Source organism: Homo sapiens, chromosome 7 (assembly GCF_000001405.40).
Source record: "Homo sapiens chromosome 7, GRCh38.p14 Primary Assembly".
In the NCBI taxonomy this organism is placed as follows: domain Eukaryota; kingdom Metazoa; phylum Chordata; class Mammalia; order Primates; family Hominidae; genus Homo; species Homo sapiens.
Genome location: NC_000007.14, coordinates 81,598,001 through 81,613,427, shown reverse-complemented (window position 1 = coordinate 81,613,427; position 15,427 = coordinate 81,598,001). Strand labels below are relative to the sequence as shown.

Here is a 15,427-nt window from a genome sequence, read left to right as displayed (position 1 = left end):
AAAGAAATAAAACATTTTAATTCTCATTTACAGTGTATCAACTAAATATTTGTTATACTATTTCTATCACCTCTATCAATTTCTAAGCTATAATAAAATTTGTATGTTTTGACAAATTTTTTTAAAATACTGTAACAATTATGATTTTTCCTATGGATTATTAATATTGATTTACACAATTTCAGCTTACACAGGCATTTTTATAGTACTGCAATACTATATAAAGCAAGTACTTTATATGTATATATGATTATTTATGATATAAGTACATATTTCACATGCCAGAGATTGTTTTACAAGTATAAAGTGTTTAAGTATCTTTATATGTTCCTGACAACATCTTGCTTTTGGTACTCATTACCTCTCACATAGAAAGTTATAAATCTACTATTTGCTCCTCCATTTTCTCATCTTGCTAATCAACCCTCAGTGTCCTTCCATGTGAATCTTTCTGAAATGCATTTGTGGTCATGTTGCAGCCTTTCTCAAAAACGAATAATGAAAACTGCCTGTGAATTTTATTAAACAACAAATATTTTCCTGCTATCCTACTTTGGTCGTGCTACCGTCTCCACCAATGCCTCGTTTCCCCCTTTTCATCTTCCATTTATTATATGAATATATACATTCATAAATGAATAAATTAGCAAATATTTACTGGTGTAATAGTTCATAAACATTAAATCAATTAGCATTTTCCAAAATGTGATTCTTATACACAAGGCAATGTGTTAAATGATCTATTTTGGTGCTAGAAGGAAATATTAGAACTTCTATTTACATTTATTCTTTTAAAATCTCAAATACAAGAAAAAACTCAGCTTTAATATTTAAGTAGGTATTGGCATTCTTATGGCGTTCTCATGTCAAACATTCACAAGTAGAAGGCAGGGTAGGAGTTCTGCACGGACAAAGAAATTCTCCCAGACTTGTTCATGTTCAGCATATTGCAATCATTTAGACTTCATATAAATGCAGTTGAACTGGATTTATGTATTATATAATCTTGTTTAAACTAAATCTCTCTTCACTAAATAAAAAAGAAATTTAAATTCAATGAGGCCAGAATGAGGATAAAAAGGTTTGCGCGGAGGCAGTTGAGGCAAATAAATGACACTGGGCATGCTTACCTCTAGGGTTAGGAGCTAAAAATTGATCTGCCCAGAAGTCAGCCAAACAACATTCAGAATTATTCAGAAGAAATCGTTGCAGTAAATATTTACATGCACTATTGTTAATAATGAATTTTAACTGTAGTGTACATTTTCACTGGAGATTTTTTGCTCATGGTAGCATGAATACATCCCAGGTGGCAAAATGTTAAAATTTAGCACCCAGAACATGAAGAAGTCAAAATTATACAATATTTTAGCAATGTTATAAATTATGTGTACATTTTGAATCTGACAAAATTTTACCAATTCAGCAATAAATAAATAGCAAAAGACAGAAGTTCACATTTGACTGAGGTAATAAATTTTCTTCCTACAGTGGAAATTGGCTAAAAGAGATGATGTGAAATAAAAGACAAAGTAAAATGTATTGCTTGTTATCACATTTTTGTAAGATGTAAAGAAATGTTACGGATATAAAGAAATTGATTAGAATTAATCATTTAGAGTGAAAAATTTGCTCTACAGTTGAATGAAAGTTCAGGTTTTTAAACATGTCTTAGTTTATGATATCTGCAATATTCTATTTTAATAATGAAAAACTTAAAGAATCACTTTCTTTGAACTACTAAAGGAAACATTCGCTAAGCAAAACGTGGTCTCATCAAAAAGTGACTACTGGAAAGAAAATATAATTGATAATTCATGGGGGAAAATTGAAGGGTAATTTTTATATAATGGCTGTTTGCCCAGAATTAATGCAAGCAAACGAAGAGTTTAAGAATTACTTATAGAAATAGCATTATATATGAAATACATTCATTTGCAATATTCATAATAAAGTTTATTACAGAAAAGATGGGAAAATTTAAGCCAGAAGCGGAAAGCAGTCATCAAACACAGATCGCACTCTAGTCTTACAACGGCACCGTCAGATGGTGCAGAGCCGGACGGGAACGAAGTCGGACGCGCCTATTTTTGGAACAAAGTCTCTCCAAGGAGAAGCCTCCCAGGCCTCTACATGGGTCGTTGCTAGCTGGTGAGGCTCGACAGTGTCCCGGGCACCGGAGAGGAGGCCGGCGGAGGAGGTGAATCGAAGAGGTCCTGAGGGACATAGGGACGGCTGAGGTGGTGGCGGCTGGAGAGGCCCCTATAGGCTCCAGGAGGCGGTTGGCTGCTGGTTACCGGGAACTGCCGCAGTGTTTTGCTTTGAGGAACCACTTTGTCGGTGTGGTGATGGGTCGCGCGCGGTGGGTCAAAAATAAAGAATATACAAAGTACAACAAACACCGCAATCTAAACAATACAAGAACAATTAGAATCATTACTCAAAAATTTTAGCGGCAAGGCAATGCAAACAAAAGCGAAAGCAGCGATAGATAATTTTATTAAAAAGCCAGAAGAAAACTACAATTCGGAATGCAGACTTGATTTACCACCAATGAAGAAAAACTTAGTCGGAGAAGTATTGGACATACCGGCACTATGAAGAGACCAAACTGATTCGACTATTTATTAAAACACCAGTGTTTAAAGATGTAGAATTCAATGTTTTATACTTTCTTTAATAAAATCAGAAGTATTTATACTTGGGAAACAAAACAAAAACCCAGATCCCTAAGAATCATACAGTTTTATAAAGAGATCAGGCATAATAATAAAAATATTTTGTACCCTACATATTTATTTCCCTGGCATCGTGTTTATAGAATTGTCAAATTTAAGGATGAGCTACATATTTTTCCGTTAGAAAAGGTCAAGTTTTCCAACTTTGTTAATTTATTATTAAACAAATACAATTTAATAATACAATAAAGACTATGAAATTTATTTAAAATATTTTATAATATACAATTGCTTCATGAAAGACAATAATAAGTACTTTATCAGTCCCATAAAGATAATTCTGGCATTTACTGATGAATAAGAAAGCAATTGTCATCTGAAAGAAACTCATAGTATGGAGAGGCTTATTTGAAAATGTTTCCATCATTCTAGACTTGAGACCACTACAGTTGTGTCACCTACGTAAACACTTGTCTGCCTACTTGTACTGGAAAACAGAATTTTCTAATCAGTGTAAAAATCTTCCACATAAAAAATGTCAGTAGGTTTTAAACTAGTAAAAATGTAAAATGAAATACTATCCAATTGATTTGAAATAAAATCGGATTGACATCAACGATGAAGAATATTTTACAGCTGGCTATATTCAATACTTTTCAGTGTTGATAGATAAAACCGAAAAATGAGTTTATGATTTATTAAGTATAAAATGATGCACTCCTATTTACTTATACATATATTTGTGAGGGATGTTTGGGATCCTTTGTATCTTTAAGATCCTCTGAGTATGAACATAAACTGAACTTTGATCTTTGCTATGAACATGTAATATCATATAATGTAAAATCATGTTTTCAACAAGAATAAAGCATATTAATTTTTTCCACTCCAAGTATTATGAAATAAATATTAAGTACTTTATTATACATGTATGATTAATATTTAACATTTATTGTATAATTAATTAATAAAATGAGTTTTAAAACTGATTTATCTTTGTCATCTCATTATGAAAATTAGTAATGTAGTAATAAGTACTATCTAAAATGTTATTAGTAACATTTTAGAAATAGAAAAACATTTACTGTAGTATATTTATATCATTTGCAATATAATATGATGTGATAGGTATAACATAATGTAATACAATATTTTCCACATTTATATCATTCTTTTGCATTTATTCTCGTTTTCATGTGTATTTCATGAGCATATAAAATATACCATGCTGTGGTGCATTTAAATAATTTATGAATATAGAAATGCACATATATTGAGAGAAACAGGCTGAAAACTATTTTTCTAATAGGATGCTGTTATCAAGACTTTGGTGCTTCAAAGCATCAAAGCCTCATTTTTGAAAAGCCACCACTTCTTTGAAGGTTTCTCCTTTTCGTCCTCTTTTGGAAGTGTTTCCTTACTCTTCTGAACTTTCATGTTATTTTACTGAAACATGTTACCCACTCTGTTGTGGTATAGCCATTTTTATCCAGCCATTATCTTTGCTAGGTTACAAATTACCTAAGAGTGGGTCTTGCTTAACTTTGGAGTTACTCAGCCAACAGTAGAGCGGTGAGTATACAACTAGTCCCACTCAGAAATAATACTGAATCATCTCAGGGTTTGCAAATATTTATGCAGTCATATTAAAAATAATTCTTTATTCTACTTGCAGAACAGCTTCTATTAGGTAAACAGGGATTAAAAATTAAATCACCTGAACTACTTGCCAAAAATTATCCATAGGTTACTCCACGTCAACTCTAAAGACTTACATTTTAAATTGTTGATATATAATGATCCTAGCCTTGCTGATAATCTTCTCACCAGGTACAAACGGGAAACAGACACAGAAGCTGAAATATGACCTACGTGCATAATCACTCAATTAAATAGAATAAAACTATTGACTTCAATATTGAGTAACAACGTAGTGACTTGTTGGCTTAATTTGTGTAAAGATTGAATTTGTATTAATAGCCAAAGCCATGCATATGTTTGTAGACGTTGCTAAGGGCAAATGGGGAGCTGGTCTAAATATGAACATCGTCAAGATATTTTAATATGCACAGGTTTATACAAATTTGATATTTCATTCGTTTTTAAGGAAATTAAGTTTAATTGTTAGTTATGGAATTTGAATCCCTGCTGAGATCCTTTTAATTCATTGAATATTTCTTTCTCATTTTCATTCTTTTGTTTGTGTGTGTGTATTGGTGTGTGTGAGAGAGAGAGAGAAAGTGATATTAAATAATGAACAAAAAACTCAACTCTTAATCTTGGATTATTTTAGACAGGATTCTACTTTTGGTATTTTTTTTCTGTAAGGGTCTTCTTTTTGTAGAGTAATTTGCTATGTAAAAATATTTATTATATAACAAAAAGTCATAAAAATATTATTTATCAGTTTATTAATATTTTTAACATTTAAATTATTGTTTTAGATATTTCTTATATATATTATTTCCTTTTAGTCATATTACATATTCTGGGAATGAGTTTCAGAATATGCCTATTTCTGTTTTCCACTACAGAGGTACAGCATAATGTAATTTACAATGACTCACAACTAAACCAAAAACAGATCTTTTCTTTCTAATAAAAAGAAAAGCAATGAAAATAATTAAGCAAATTAAAGAAGAGATGTGTTTTCCTTGATTTTTTTCAATTAGCATTTTAAATTGTAATACAACAAACTTCATATTTAAAAATACAGCTTGTGTGAGCATGTGAAATGATTTCACTGAAATGGTCAATAAACTGAAGGAAGAAATTAGCAAAATTTGCTTGTGAAATAACCATTCTGCATGATAATTGTTAAATTCATGTTGAACACAGGAATAAACTAAAGATATATTAAAGCTGGGATCTAAACTTGTACTTTCCTGCGAGTTTGTTCTACACAATTCATCACTGAAAAACAATATTGATATGTTAAAGAAAAAAAAAACTTACTCAGTTTTAGATGAAACTTTTTACTCCAGTTTCAGCTTGAAACGTATCAAGACAAATAAATGGAAATATTGATAAAATATTGATATTGATAAAATTGTTCATTTTTATATTTTTCTTGATATTAAGAAGTCTTTCTGTGTTATCTCTTCAGTGTTTTCACACATTAAAACAGAAATTCAGATTTTAATTAACCCAGTGAATTTGCCTGAAAATATGCTCCCTGGAACACAACTAAGTCGTGCTTATGATAAAGATGTGGCTGGAAAGGGAGATGTCTACCGTTTTCTGAATAAAACATAAGATTTTGCCATCGATGCAAGTAAGTAATTGTGACATTTATATTTTTATTTGCTTTATAGTTATTACTTTTTAATTTTACTTTTAAAATGGACAGATAATAATTGTACATATTTATGGGGTACATAATGTTGTTTCCACACATATAATGTATAGTGATCAGATCAGAATAATTAGCATATTTATCATCTCACACCTTTATCACTTCTTTGTGTCTGGAATATTCAATATCCTCCTTCTAGCTTTTTGAAACTATATATTATTGTTAACTATAGTCATACTACAGTGCTTAACACCAGAACTTATTCCTTCCACCTAGCTGCAATTTTGTAGCTTTTAACAAGTCTCTCCCTATCCTTCCTTCCCTTCCTCCTATCCCTCCCAGTCTCTAGTATCCTCTGTTGTACTTATTACTTCCATGAGATCACTGTTTTTTAGCTTCCACATATGAGTGAGAACATATTTAAAGTTTAGACTTTGAAGAAAATTATTTTGTTGAACCCAAGTGGTACATTAGATTTCTTGGTCAAAATTTGCTGCAGATAGTCACATAAATTCAACACAATTTCTCAGGGGGCTTCCCATTCCCGCCTTGCCCCATATTTGTGATATCACAACATTGTCACAAGTGTTGTTTCCTGAAAACATAAAATTTTTGTTCATAAAAATGACGTGAGAGTCATCTCATTCTTTTTACGAAAAAAGATATTCTTTGAAAAATAGGAAAGAGGACATATCCATTTTCTATCTATCATCTATCTATGTATATAATGCATGTAAACACACTTTATTAAATTGGCATTCTAAGATATATGCAAGGCCAGCATTTTATAAAACTTCCCATTATTCCATAAGCAGTTATTATGAAACACAGTGATTATGTAAATCAATCAAGCAAATGCATTATCTGTAGGATTTTCTTATATCCTCTCTTACACTTGTTTTCCAATACATGCCTGAAATATATGATAATAATATTAGAATAGGAAGAGATAATTTTGCTTTATAACAATGATAACATTTTAAACATTTATATGAAAATAAAGGGATACTACCAACAAAGCTCATCTGTGGGTTAGCATAGCTCTTTTATTTATTTTAAAACAATCCCTGTGCAAACTTAACTTTCTAGTGCATTTAAACAATAAAAACTAAAAATTAACCTTGGCTTAAATAAATAAAGTGAACTAAAAACTAAAAATTAACCTTGGTTTAAATAATAAAGTGAATCACCGTGTCTCCTAGGTCTCATACCATTGGAAAAATTTCAATTTCCTGACCTAGTTCTACCCCATCACTGAATTTCAAAAATTAATTTAAGCATCATCACATTTCAAAGTTATTTCTTAATAGTCCTAAATTCAAGCTCTGAAAAGGTTGACCAAAAATTGTTCCTTTATGGCAAAAAAGATAATAGAGTGAAGACAGATATGTTTGTACTAATTTCAAGAAAAATAATTAATACTTATTTTTTGTTTTAAAATGTTTTCGTTTCGGTACAGTGAAGATAAACAAAATAAATAATATCATTTATTAAGTTTTACATCCATGTGGCTTAAAAACTAGATAAGTATCACTAAATAAAATCACGATATGGTAGCTCTGTTTACCTTGCATTGTTTACCATCCTTGGCTCATAATCTAATTGTTTGAAATTACATTAAAAATTAACTAATTAAATGCTAAGATTGTGCCCCTTTTTAAAAGAACCCCTAGCCAAAATTCTAGAGCCAATTTTAGGTTGACTTTGCCTGTTTTCTTCCAAAGTGCTTGTGGGGAATTGCAGTGCCCATGGTAGTGAGAGATGACACTTTAGGATGGATAGTTGCATCAACCGAATTCGATCTGTGAACACAGCGAAAGATGGTGAAGTTCTCCATTAGTTTTCTCCAGAACAAATCCTGGTCTGCTGACTACCAACCCTGATATTGTCAGTGCTTGAGAACTGACTGTGGAGTGGAATTTTTCCCAAGAAGAAGTATTAATACATTAGTCCGTGAAGGCAGAAAATACATCGTACTCCTCACATCACCCTGTGCCTAACCAGGTGGCTGGATGGTAGACTCTCAGTAGGTTCAATGAAAAAGTGGGACAGTGTCTCGCATTTAAAAAAAAAACAAAACACAAAAGTATTTGTTTTCACAATTAAGAATCCAACCAATGCTAAATTGCAAAGGCAAATGATGTTTCTGATGTCCTCTGACATAGGATCAACCTATTTCCTTACTATGATGTTTTTTACTCAGTGTATGATTTCTACAGTTATATACAATTTTAATTAGATGTTAATTCTGAAATGAGATATAAGGTAGCATAGCTGTTTTATTTACATTTCAGATATTTCTAAAAATGTGTGTGTGTTTATTTGTGTGGCATTCTCAGAAAATGTCAAAATATTGCTGGACGTGATTTTTATAAATTTAAGAAAATGGCTTTTAAAACAAAAAGAATTTGATATCTTACTCACCACCCAGTGTCACCTCACTTGAATGATTTACCAGTGGCTGAACACAACTCCACACACATAGAACAAGCTCAGTCTTTTCCACAGAAATCAATTCCAACTTCTGTTGATTCACCTGCTCCCTTTTCTCTCAGTCTACAGGACTGTGCTCGAAACCTCAAATTTTGAGTAAAATCTGAACAACTGTTTCCTTCTGACTAGGGTCAGATACTGGAAACCTTCCTTTAGTAGGAGAGTTGCTGATTTCTGATAGTTAGACTGCAATAAGGCCCATCGTCTCAGGCGGCTGATTGCCTGCCATTCTGACCCAGGGCTTTTTATTTTTTTATTTTATTTTTTCCTATTTGTCCTCTGCTAGAAGTGATACTGCAAACCTTGGCCTGACTCCCAGATGAACCTCCCATCCTCTTTACATAACACTTACCTAATAGTATTGAAATATCTGAATCTGATTACATGGAAAATATGTGCCCCCTAAACTAACCTCTCAAGCTTCTTACGTTCTCATGCCTTTCAGTGGTGTCCTGTGAAATGGTCATGGCTTTTATATGGTAAATAAATAGACAAATAAAATCCCTTACTTTCTCAACCTATTTTGTGACATTTCCCTACCTCTCGGCATTAACTGAAATTTGCTGTCCTATGGGATGACCGCAGCATGCCTCAAACTCATGTTATTCATTCTCCCACACATCTCATATCTCTGGGTCAGGAAGTGGGAAGTCGGCATTCTTTTCACTCCGCAGAGCTGATTCTTGACCATTGCCCCGATCCTCTTTGGAAACTCCCTTGCTCAATTGAAGCTCAGGATATTTGGCTCCTTACCAAACCGTACTAATCACTCTCCGTTGAGTCCTAAGGACTTGAATATATCACTCACAGTGTTTCTCCCTGTCTCAGATCCGGCCGCCATCTTTTAGGATTCTTTGATACTCACATTTTGGCCTATCCAGCCCTCCAAATTCTCAGGTCCTTTACTTTATTTGGTGTAAAGCTTACTTAAAGCTCTGTGACTTGAACATTTACTTCCATCCATACACTCCCATGGCTGCAGTCAGAACTTCATCAGCACCCAGAACAATATTACTTCATGTTCTTAATTTTAGAATCCCACTCCTAATGCTTTTTCAATTCTTTTATTCAGTTACCCTTACTATGCATTTTATCATCTCTACATTTTAATTGTAGTCAAGGGATAGATGCTTCATCTCTGACGTCAACAATCCATTGATTTATTCTTTTGCTCTCTGTCATTACCACTTCTCTTTACTTCTGAATCTGGCAGTATAATCCATCTTTCAACCCTTCCTGGACAATATCTTCAGATAATTTGGCCTGTACTTCTTCTGTAACCTTTACCCATGAAAACTCCAATTTGAGACCCAATTATTGATGTGCCTAAGCTTATGAATACTGTTGGAAAAAAAATCACATGAGCCAGCTTCTGCACTCTAGATTTTGCTTGGCCCTAAATGCTTTTTGGTAGTTCTTCAATATTTCTCTAGTTAGATCTCTCTTTAATTTGCCAAGTTGGTTATGATAGAATTTCTCCAGTCTCATCTTAAATCTCTTACTCACCTGAAACCTTTTTCTCTTAACAGATAAAATCAGCTTACAAATTTGAGGAAAATTATAAGCAATCAAGAGGGAAATTCCTTAGGCTATTTCCTATAGTTAGTTCTTTGCAATGAATTCCTTCTTTTTACTCTTCTGTTGCAAAAGAAGATTCATGCCTTCCTTTGTCTACTTTCATTCCTTTCAGTTTGGTTGAGTTCCATATCCCCACTCCTCATATTTCTTTCTACACTGATTATCCCCTTTTCCTATATTTTCTATTCTTCTCTCCCGATTATTTTCAATAACTTTCAACTGATCTTATAAGCCTTCCCTATCTTAACAAAATTCACTCTTGCCCTATGTCTCTTTTCTTTTACTGTCTTGTCTTTTTTTTGACGTTTTATAGAACATCTGGCATTTCATCTAACTGGTTAAATATTTTTAGAGTTCTCTACATTTTTCTTACTCCTGCACTTTCCATTTATTTTTGAACAGAGTTGTGACAGGTCACTTCAACAAGACATGCCACCATACATAGCAATATTTTTATTGTTAAAAACAATGCCATATTTAAGTCTTCATCTTATATATAACCTCTCTTTAAAATTTAGAGGTGAAAACCACTCTTTAGTTTTTTAAACATGCTCATGGCACTATATACTCTGCTAGTTTTCCCCATATATCTCTTCTTCCTTCCCTCCTCTTCTTCCTCCTAAATTTTTCCTCTGTTTATTCTGTACATATTTGTGTTATTCAGGTCTACTTAGGTTTTCTTCTATCCATATTCTACACAGTTTACCTTGCATTTATCCCTTGACTACAAACCCATCTATGTATCCATTAACTACAATTAAAATATATATTCTGATGATCTCAATTACATAAATATGTATATATACACACACACACAAAGCTCAAACACTATGACTTAACTTCAGACCAATATATCTACTTTATAGACATATTCTTAAATATTTTAAATTGAATTATTCAAATCTGCACAGATTATTTTCTCCAAAAACCTGCCTCTAATATAACCTCTGTGTAAATTATGTAAAACAGCTCTCTCCGGAGCAGATGCAGTCAAGCACTAAGGTATGTAGTCCTCAGCTACTCTTGCCCCCAGTCGTCATCTACTATTTTGCAGGACATCATAAACACCATCATGTATGGTAGCCTTGCTGCCATCTACCCTTCAGAAAACTCTGTGACAGGCATGCCTTACTGACTCCTTCTATCACACCTTCTGCTTCCAGTCATTCACCAAATTCTATAGATTTTAAATCCTTGGTATGTTTATCTCATGTCCATGATTACTATCTCATGTCACATCCTTATAAGCTCTTGTCTTAGTGTATTTTGTGTTGCTGTGAAGGAGTACCTGAGGTTAGGCTATTCATAAAGAAAAGAGGTTAGTTTGGCTCATGCTTATGGAGGCTGTGCAAGAGGTATGACACCAGCATCTGCTTGGCATCTGCTGAGGGCTTTTATGCTGCATCAAATCATGGCAGAGAAAGTCAAAGGGGAAGCAGGCATGTGTGAAGAGGAACAAAATCTGAGTGGCATCCTGGCTTTATAACAACCTACCCTCTGGAAACTAATCCATTCCCTCAAAACCAATCCAGTCTCATGGGAGGGACAGCTCACACACAGAAGGCACCAAGCCATGCATGAGAGACCTACCCCAATGACCCCAGTACCTCCCACTAGGCCCCACCTCCCAACACCACCACACTGGGGATCAATTTCAACATGAGATTTGGTGGGAACAAACAACATCCAAACCATAGCACCCCTCTTCTAGATTTTTGCACCAACGTTCTCACTTGATCCCTTCCTTTCAGAATTCCTTCACAATTTTCTCTTCACTGAAAGTAATTTTACTAATGTACATACAGGATCATATTCCCACAGTTTTTTGCTGTCTCTATATAGGTGATACCACCTATAATTCTTTGCTAACTTTCTATTTTCCCCCAAAGTAAAATCCAAGTTCTTTAAACTGACACACAATTCTTTTTAAAATGTGGCTCTTGTTTATCTTTGTAGACTGAAAAGTTACTATTCCCCATTGTATGTTCTATATTTTAGTCCAAATATGCATCTCCCAATGCAAAACTTTCTTCTCCCCTGAGCCTTTGCACATAGCATGTCTTCTGCCTCCTCTATTCTTCTCCTGACCAACTCATTCACATCTTTCCTGTATTAGTTCAGAAATAGTGTCATTAGTTCAGCATCTACCCTGTTCTCAGCATCAGGGAATATGCTCCTCTTATGTATTTTTAAACCATTTTTCTTTAATAATTTTATTTCCCTGATTGAATCCCTTGAGCACAAGGACTATGCCTGATTTAGTTGTTGGTCCTCTTGATGTAATATACACGTGGATGTCCCTATGCTAATAAATTCTTAGTTGTATTTCTAATTCTTCACCCAACTCCAGATCTGCATGCCTCCTGTATCTGTTTTCTGGTGCTGCATAACAAACCACCTCAAAACATAGTGGCTTCAAACAACGCTGTTTTATCTCTTAAAATTCTGTGGGTTGGCTGAATAATTATTCTACTGTTATTACTTGAGTTCATTCATAGGGCTGCATTCCAAAGGCTTGTTCATGTCTATTCCAATGGAAGTCTATGTTAACCTCTGAAACCTAATCTAGCAATGTTGTCTAAATTAACCAAAGTCTATCTTTGGCTTCTTTAAGATGCCAAAGCCTTCCGATGCTATTCCTGGTGACTCATCTACAAAGTCATAGTGCTATATAGCACTGGAGAGACATGTTCCAGTTAGTATCACTGTATTAGTCCATTCTCACATTTCTATGAATAAAGACCTGAGACTGGGTAATTCATAAATCAAAGAGGTTTAATTGGCTCATGGTTCCACAGGTTGTACAGGAAGCATAGCAGCATCTGCTTGGCTTCGGGGGAGGCCTCAGGAAACTTAAAATCCCTGCAGAAGGTGAAGGGGAAGCAGGCACGTCTTACCTGGCCAGAGCACGAAGAAGAGGAAGAGAGAGGGGGAGGTGCCACACACTTTTAAACAACCAGATCTCCTGAGAACTCTATTATGACAACAGCACCAAAAGGAAAAATCAGCCCCCATAATCCAATCACCTCCTACCAGGCCCCACCATCAATATTGGGGATTATAATTCGACATGAGATTTGGGTGGGAACACAAATCATATCAATCACATTGTAGAAAATTCTTCCCTTGTTAGCCTATTCCTCTATTCCCTAGATGAATCCAGCTGTTTATGCTGTGCCGCAAGTTGTTTGATACATTGTCAGTAAATTAGTATTCTTGACACTAAATATAAGGGGTAAAAAATCTTTCTTGGGAGTGAAGGGAGGCCCACAGGATTATTCAGTCAAGTTTTAGTTCTTTTAATCTGGCTGGAGGAGATTTAATAGAAGACGTCATAATCAATAACCATTCAGTGGTTGAACCTATTCTCTTTCTTCCAGCTTTGATCCAACATTGCGTTTTGAGATTATTTCTTGTGCTATAAGAAGGGATATATAAGCTGCACTTCAGTTTGGAAGAAATTCAGCATTGGGCTATTCATTTTGTTATGATTTGATTTTGCTTGATTCTTATTTTGTAAGATTGAAAAAGAAACTCTACAAAAATGTGTAAGAAATGTATTTGTTCCAGTGAGACTCACATTTTGTCTCTATTAAATCCATTAGCTAAGACAAGTTAGTATATATAGTTTTATAAAGTATTGCCTATGCATATTACTGGCTTTCTCAAAATTAAGAATATTTTTATTCTTCCTCTAATCAGTAGCTTTTGTGACTCAGGACTTTCTAAAAGAATCTCACCAGGCGCAGTGGCTCATGTCTGTAATCCCAGCACTTTGGGAGGCTGAGGTGGGTGGATTACCTGAGGTCGGGAGTTCAAGATCAGCCTCACCAACATGGAGAAATCCCGTCTCTACTAAAAATACAAAATTAGCCAGGCATGGTGGTGCATGCCTGTGTAATCCCAGCTACTGGGGAGACTGAGGCAGGAGAATCACTTGAACTCAGGAGGGGGAGGTTGTGGTGAGCTGAGATCGCACCATTGTACTCCAGCCTGGGCAACAAGAGCTAAATGTCATCTCAAAAAAAAAAAAAAAATCTCAATGATTACATTTGTTTCTTTGCTACAACTTGATATAAATTCTTTAAAGAATGCCCAGATTAAGTGGACCTATTATTGCTAATAATAACAAAAATTTTAAAAAGTGTATTAGTGTCTGTATTATTCTTTTCTTCATCTATACAGTACGGCCCTCTTACCATGGTTTCACTTTCCTAGTTTCAGTTACTCACAGAAAATCATGTTGGTTATTTATTTTTTTGAGACAGAATCTCACTCTGTCACCCAGGCTGGAGTACAGTGGTGCAATTGTAGCTCACTGTAGCCTCAAACTCCTGGTGTCAAGCAATCCCCCTTCCTCAGCCTCCCAAGTAGCTGGGACTACAGACACATGCCACCATGCCCAGCTAATTTTTTATTTGTGTGTGTGTGTGTGTGTGTGTGTGTGTGTGTGTGTGTGTGTGTGTGTGTGTATAGATGGAGTCCTACTATGTTGCTCAGGCTGGTCTTGAACTCCTGGTCTCAAGCAATCCTTCCACCTCAGCCTTTCAAAGTTTTGGTATTACAGGCATGAGCCACTGTGACTGGCCTATTTTCATTAATATAAGTTATTTTCAGAGAGACAGAGCACATTCTCATGATGTTTATTAGAGTATACGGTTATAATTGTTGTATTTTATTATTATTGTTGTTAATCTCTTACCATGCCTAATTTATAAATTTAACTTTATAATAGGTATGTATGTACAGGAAAAAACATAGTATATACAGGGTTCTGTACCCCTTGTGGTTTTACAAATCCACTGGGGGTCTTGAAGCATATTCTATATGGATAATGGGGCACAACCTTACTTTCTTTTCTTATCTTCACTTAAATCAGCTAATTATTTTACACCCAGGTCTTAGTCTGGCCTAGTAGGGAATTGATTATTGTTACAATAAGTACCATATAAAAGTATCCTTTTTAAGGCAATATGCCACTTTTGACAACAGAATTCTCAGTGATACGGTTTATCTAGGTGCCAGCAAAAAAATGATGTCAAATCTATTTTATGACTTTGGGATAAACTCATAATAATTAATGAGATTGAACAGAAACAAATGACAATTTTTTTCCTCTCAATAAAAAGTAGGCATGTACTGTGATGATAATATGATCTCTGTCACTGATGGTGCTGTGATCTTTGGAAATGATTTTCGATGAAAACTTTCAAGAGACATATATGGTTTACTAATAATAGAAGTCTGAATCATGAAACATTTTGAAAAGAAAATAAGTCAATATTTAATATTTTCTATCATTTGCATATTTTGAATATTTTCCTTGTGAGGCAACTGAAATATATTTAGAACTACTTCCTTTTTTTTTTTTTCCTTTTCTTCA

At 34.1% G+C, this 15,427-nt stretch overlaps 1 long non-coding RNA gene and 1 pseudogene across 2 annotated transcripts in view; both read left to right on the top strand.

Moving 5' to 3' along the window:
- The window catches only part of LOC100128317 (uncharacterized), a 115,021-nt gene that overhangs the window by 77,979 nt on the left and 21,615 nt on the right, over positions 1-15,427 (top strand). For both annotated transcript variants that reach the window (NR_126025.1, NR_126026.1), the window contains one exon: positions 5,785-5,952. This is a non-coding gene — a long non-coding RNA (uncharacterized LOC100128317). The remainder of the gene's footprint in view (positions 1-5,784; positions 5,953-15,427) is intronic.
- Positions 2,021-2,544, top strand: DDX43P3 (DEAD-box helicase 43 pseudogene 3; annotated as a pseudogene).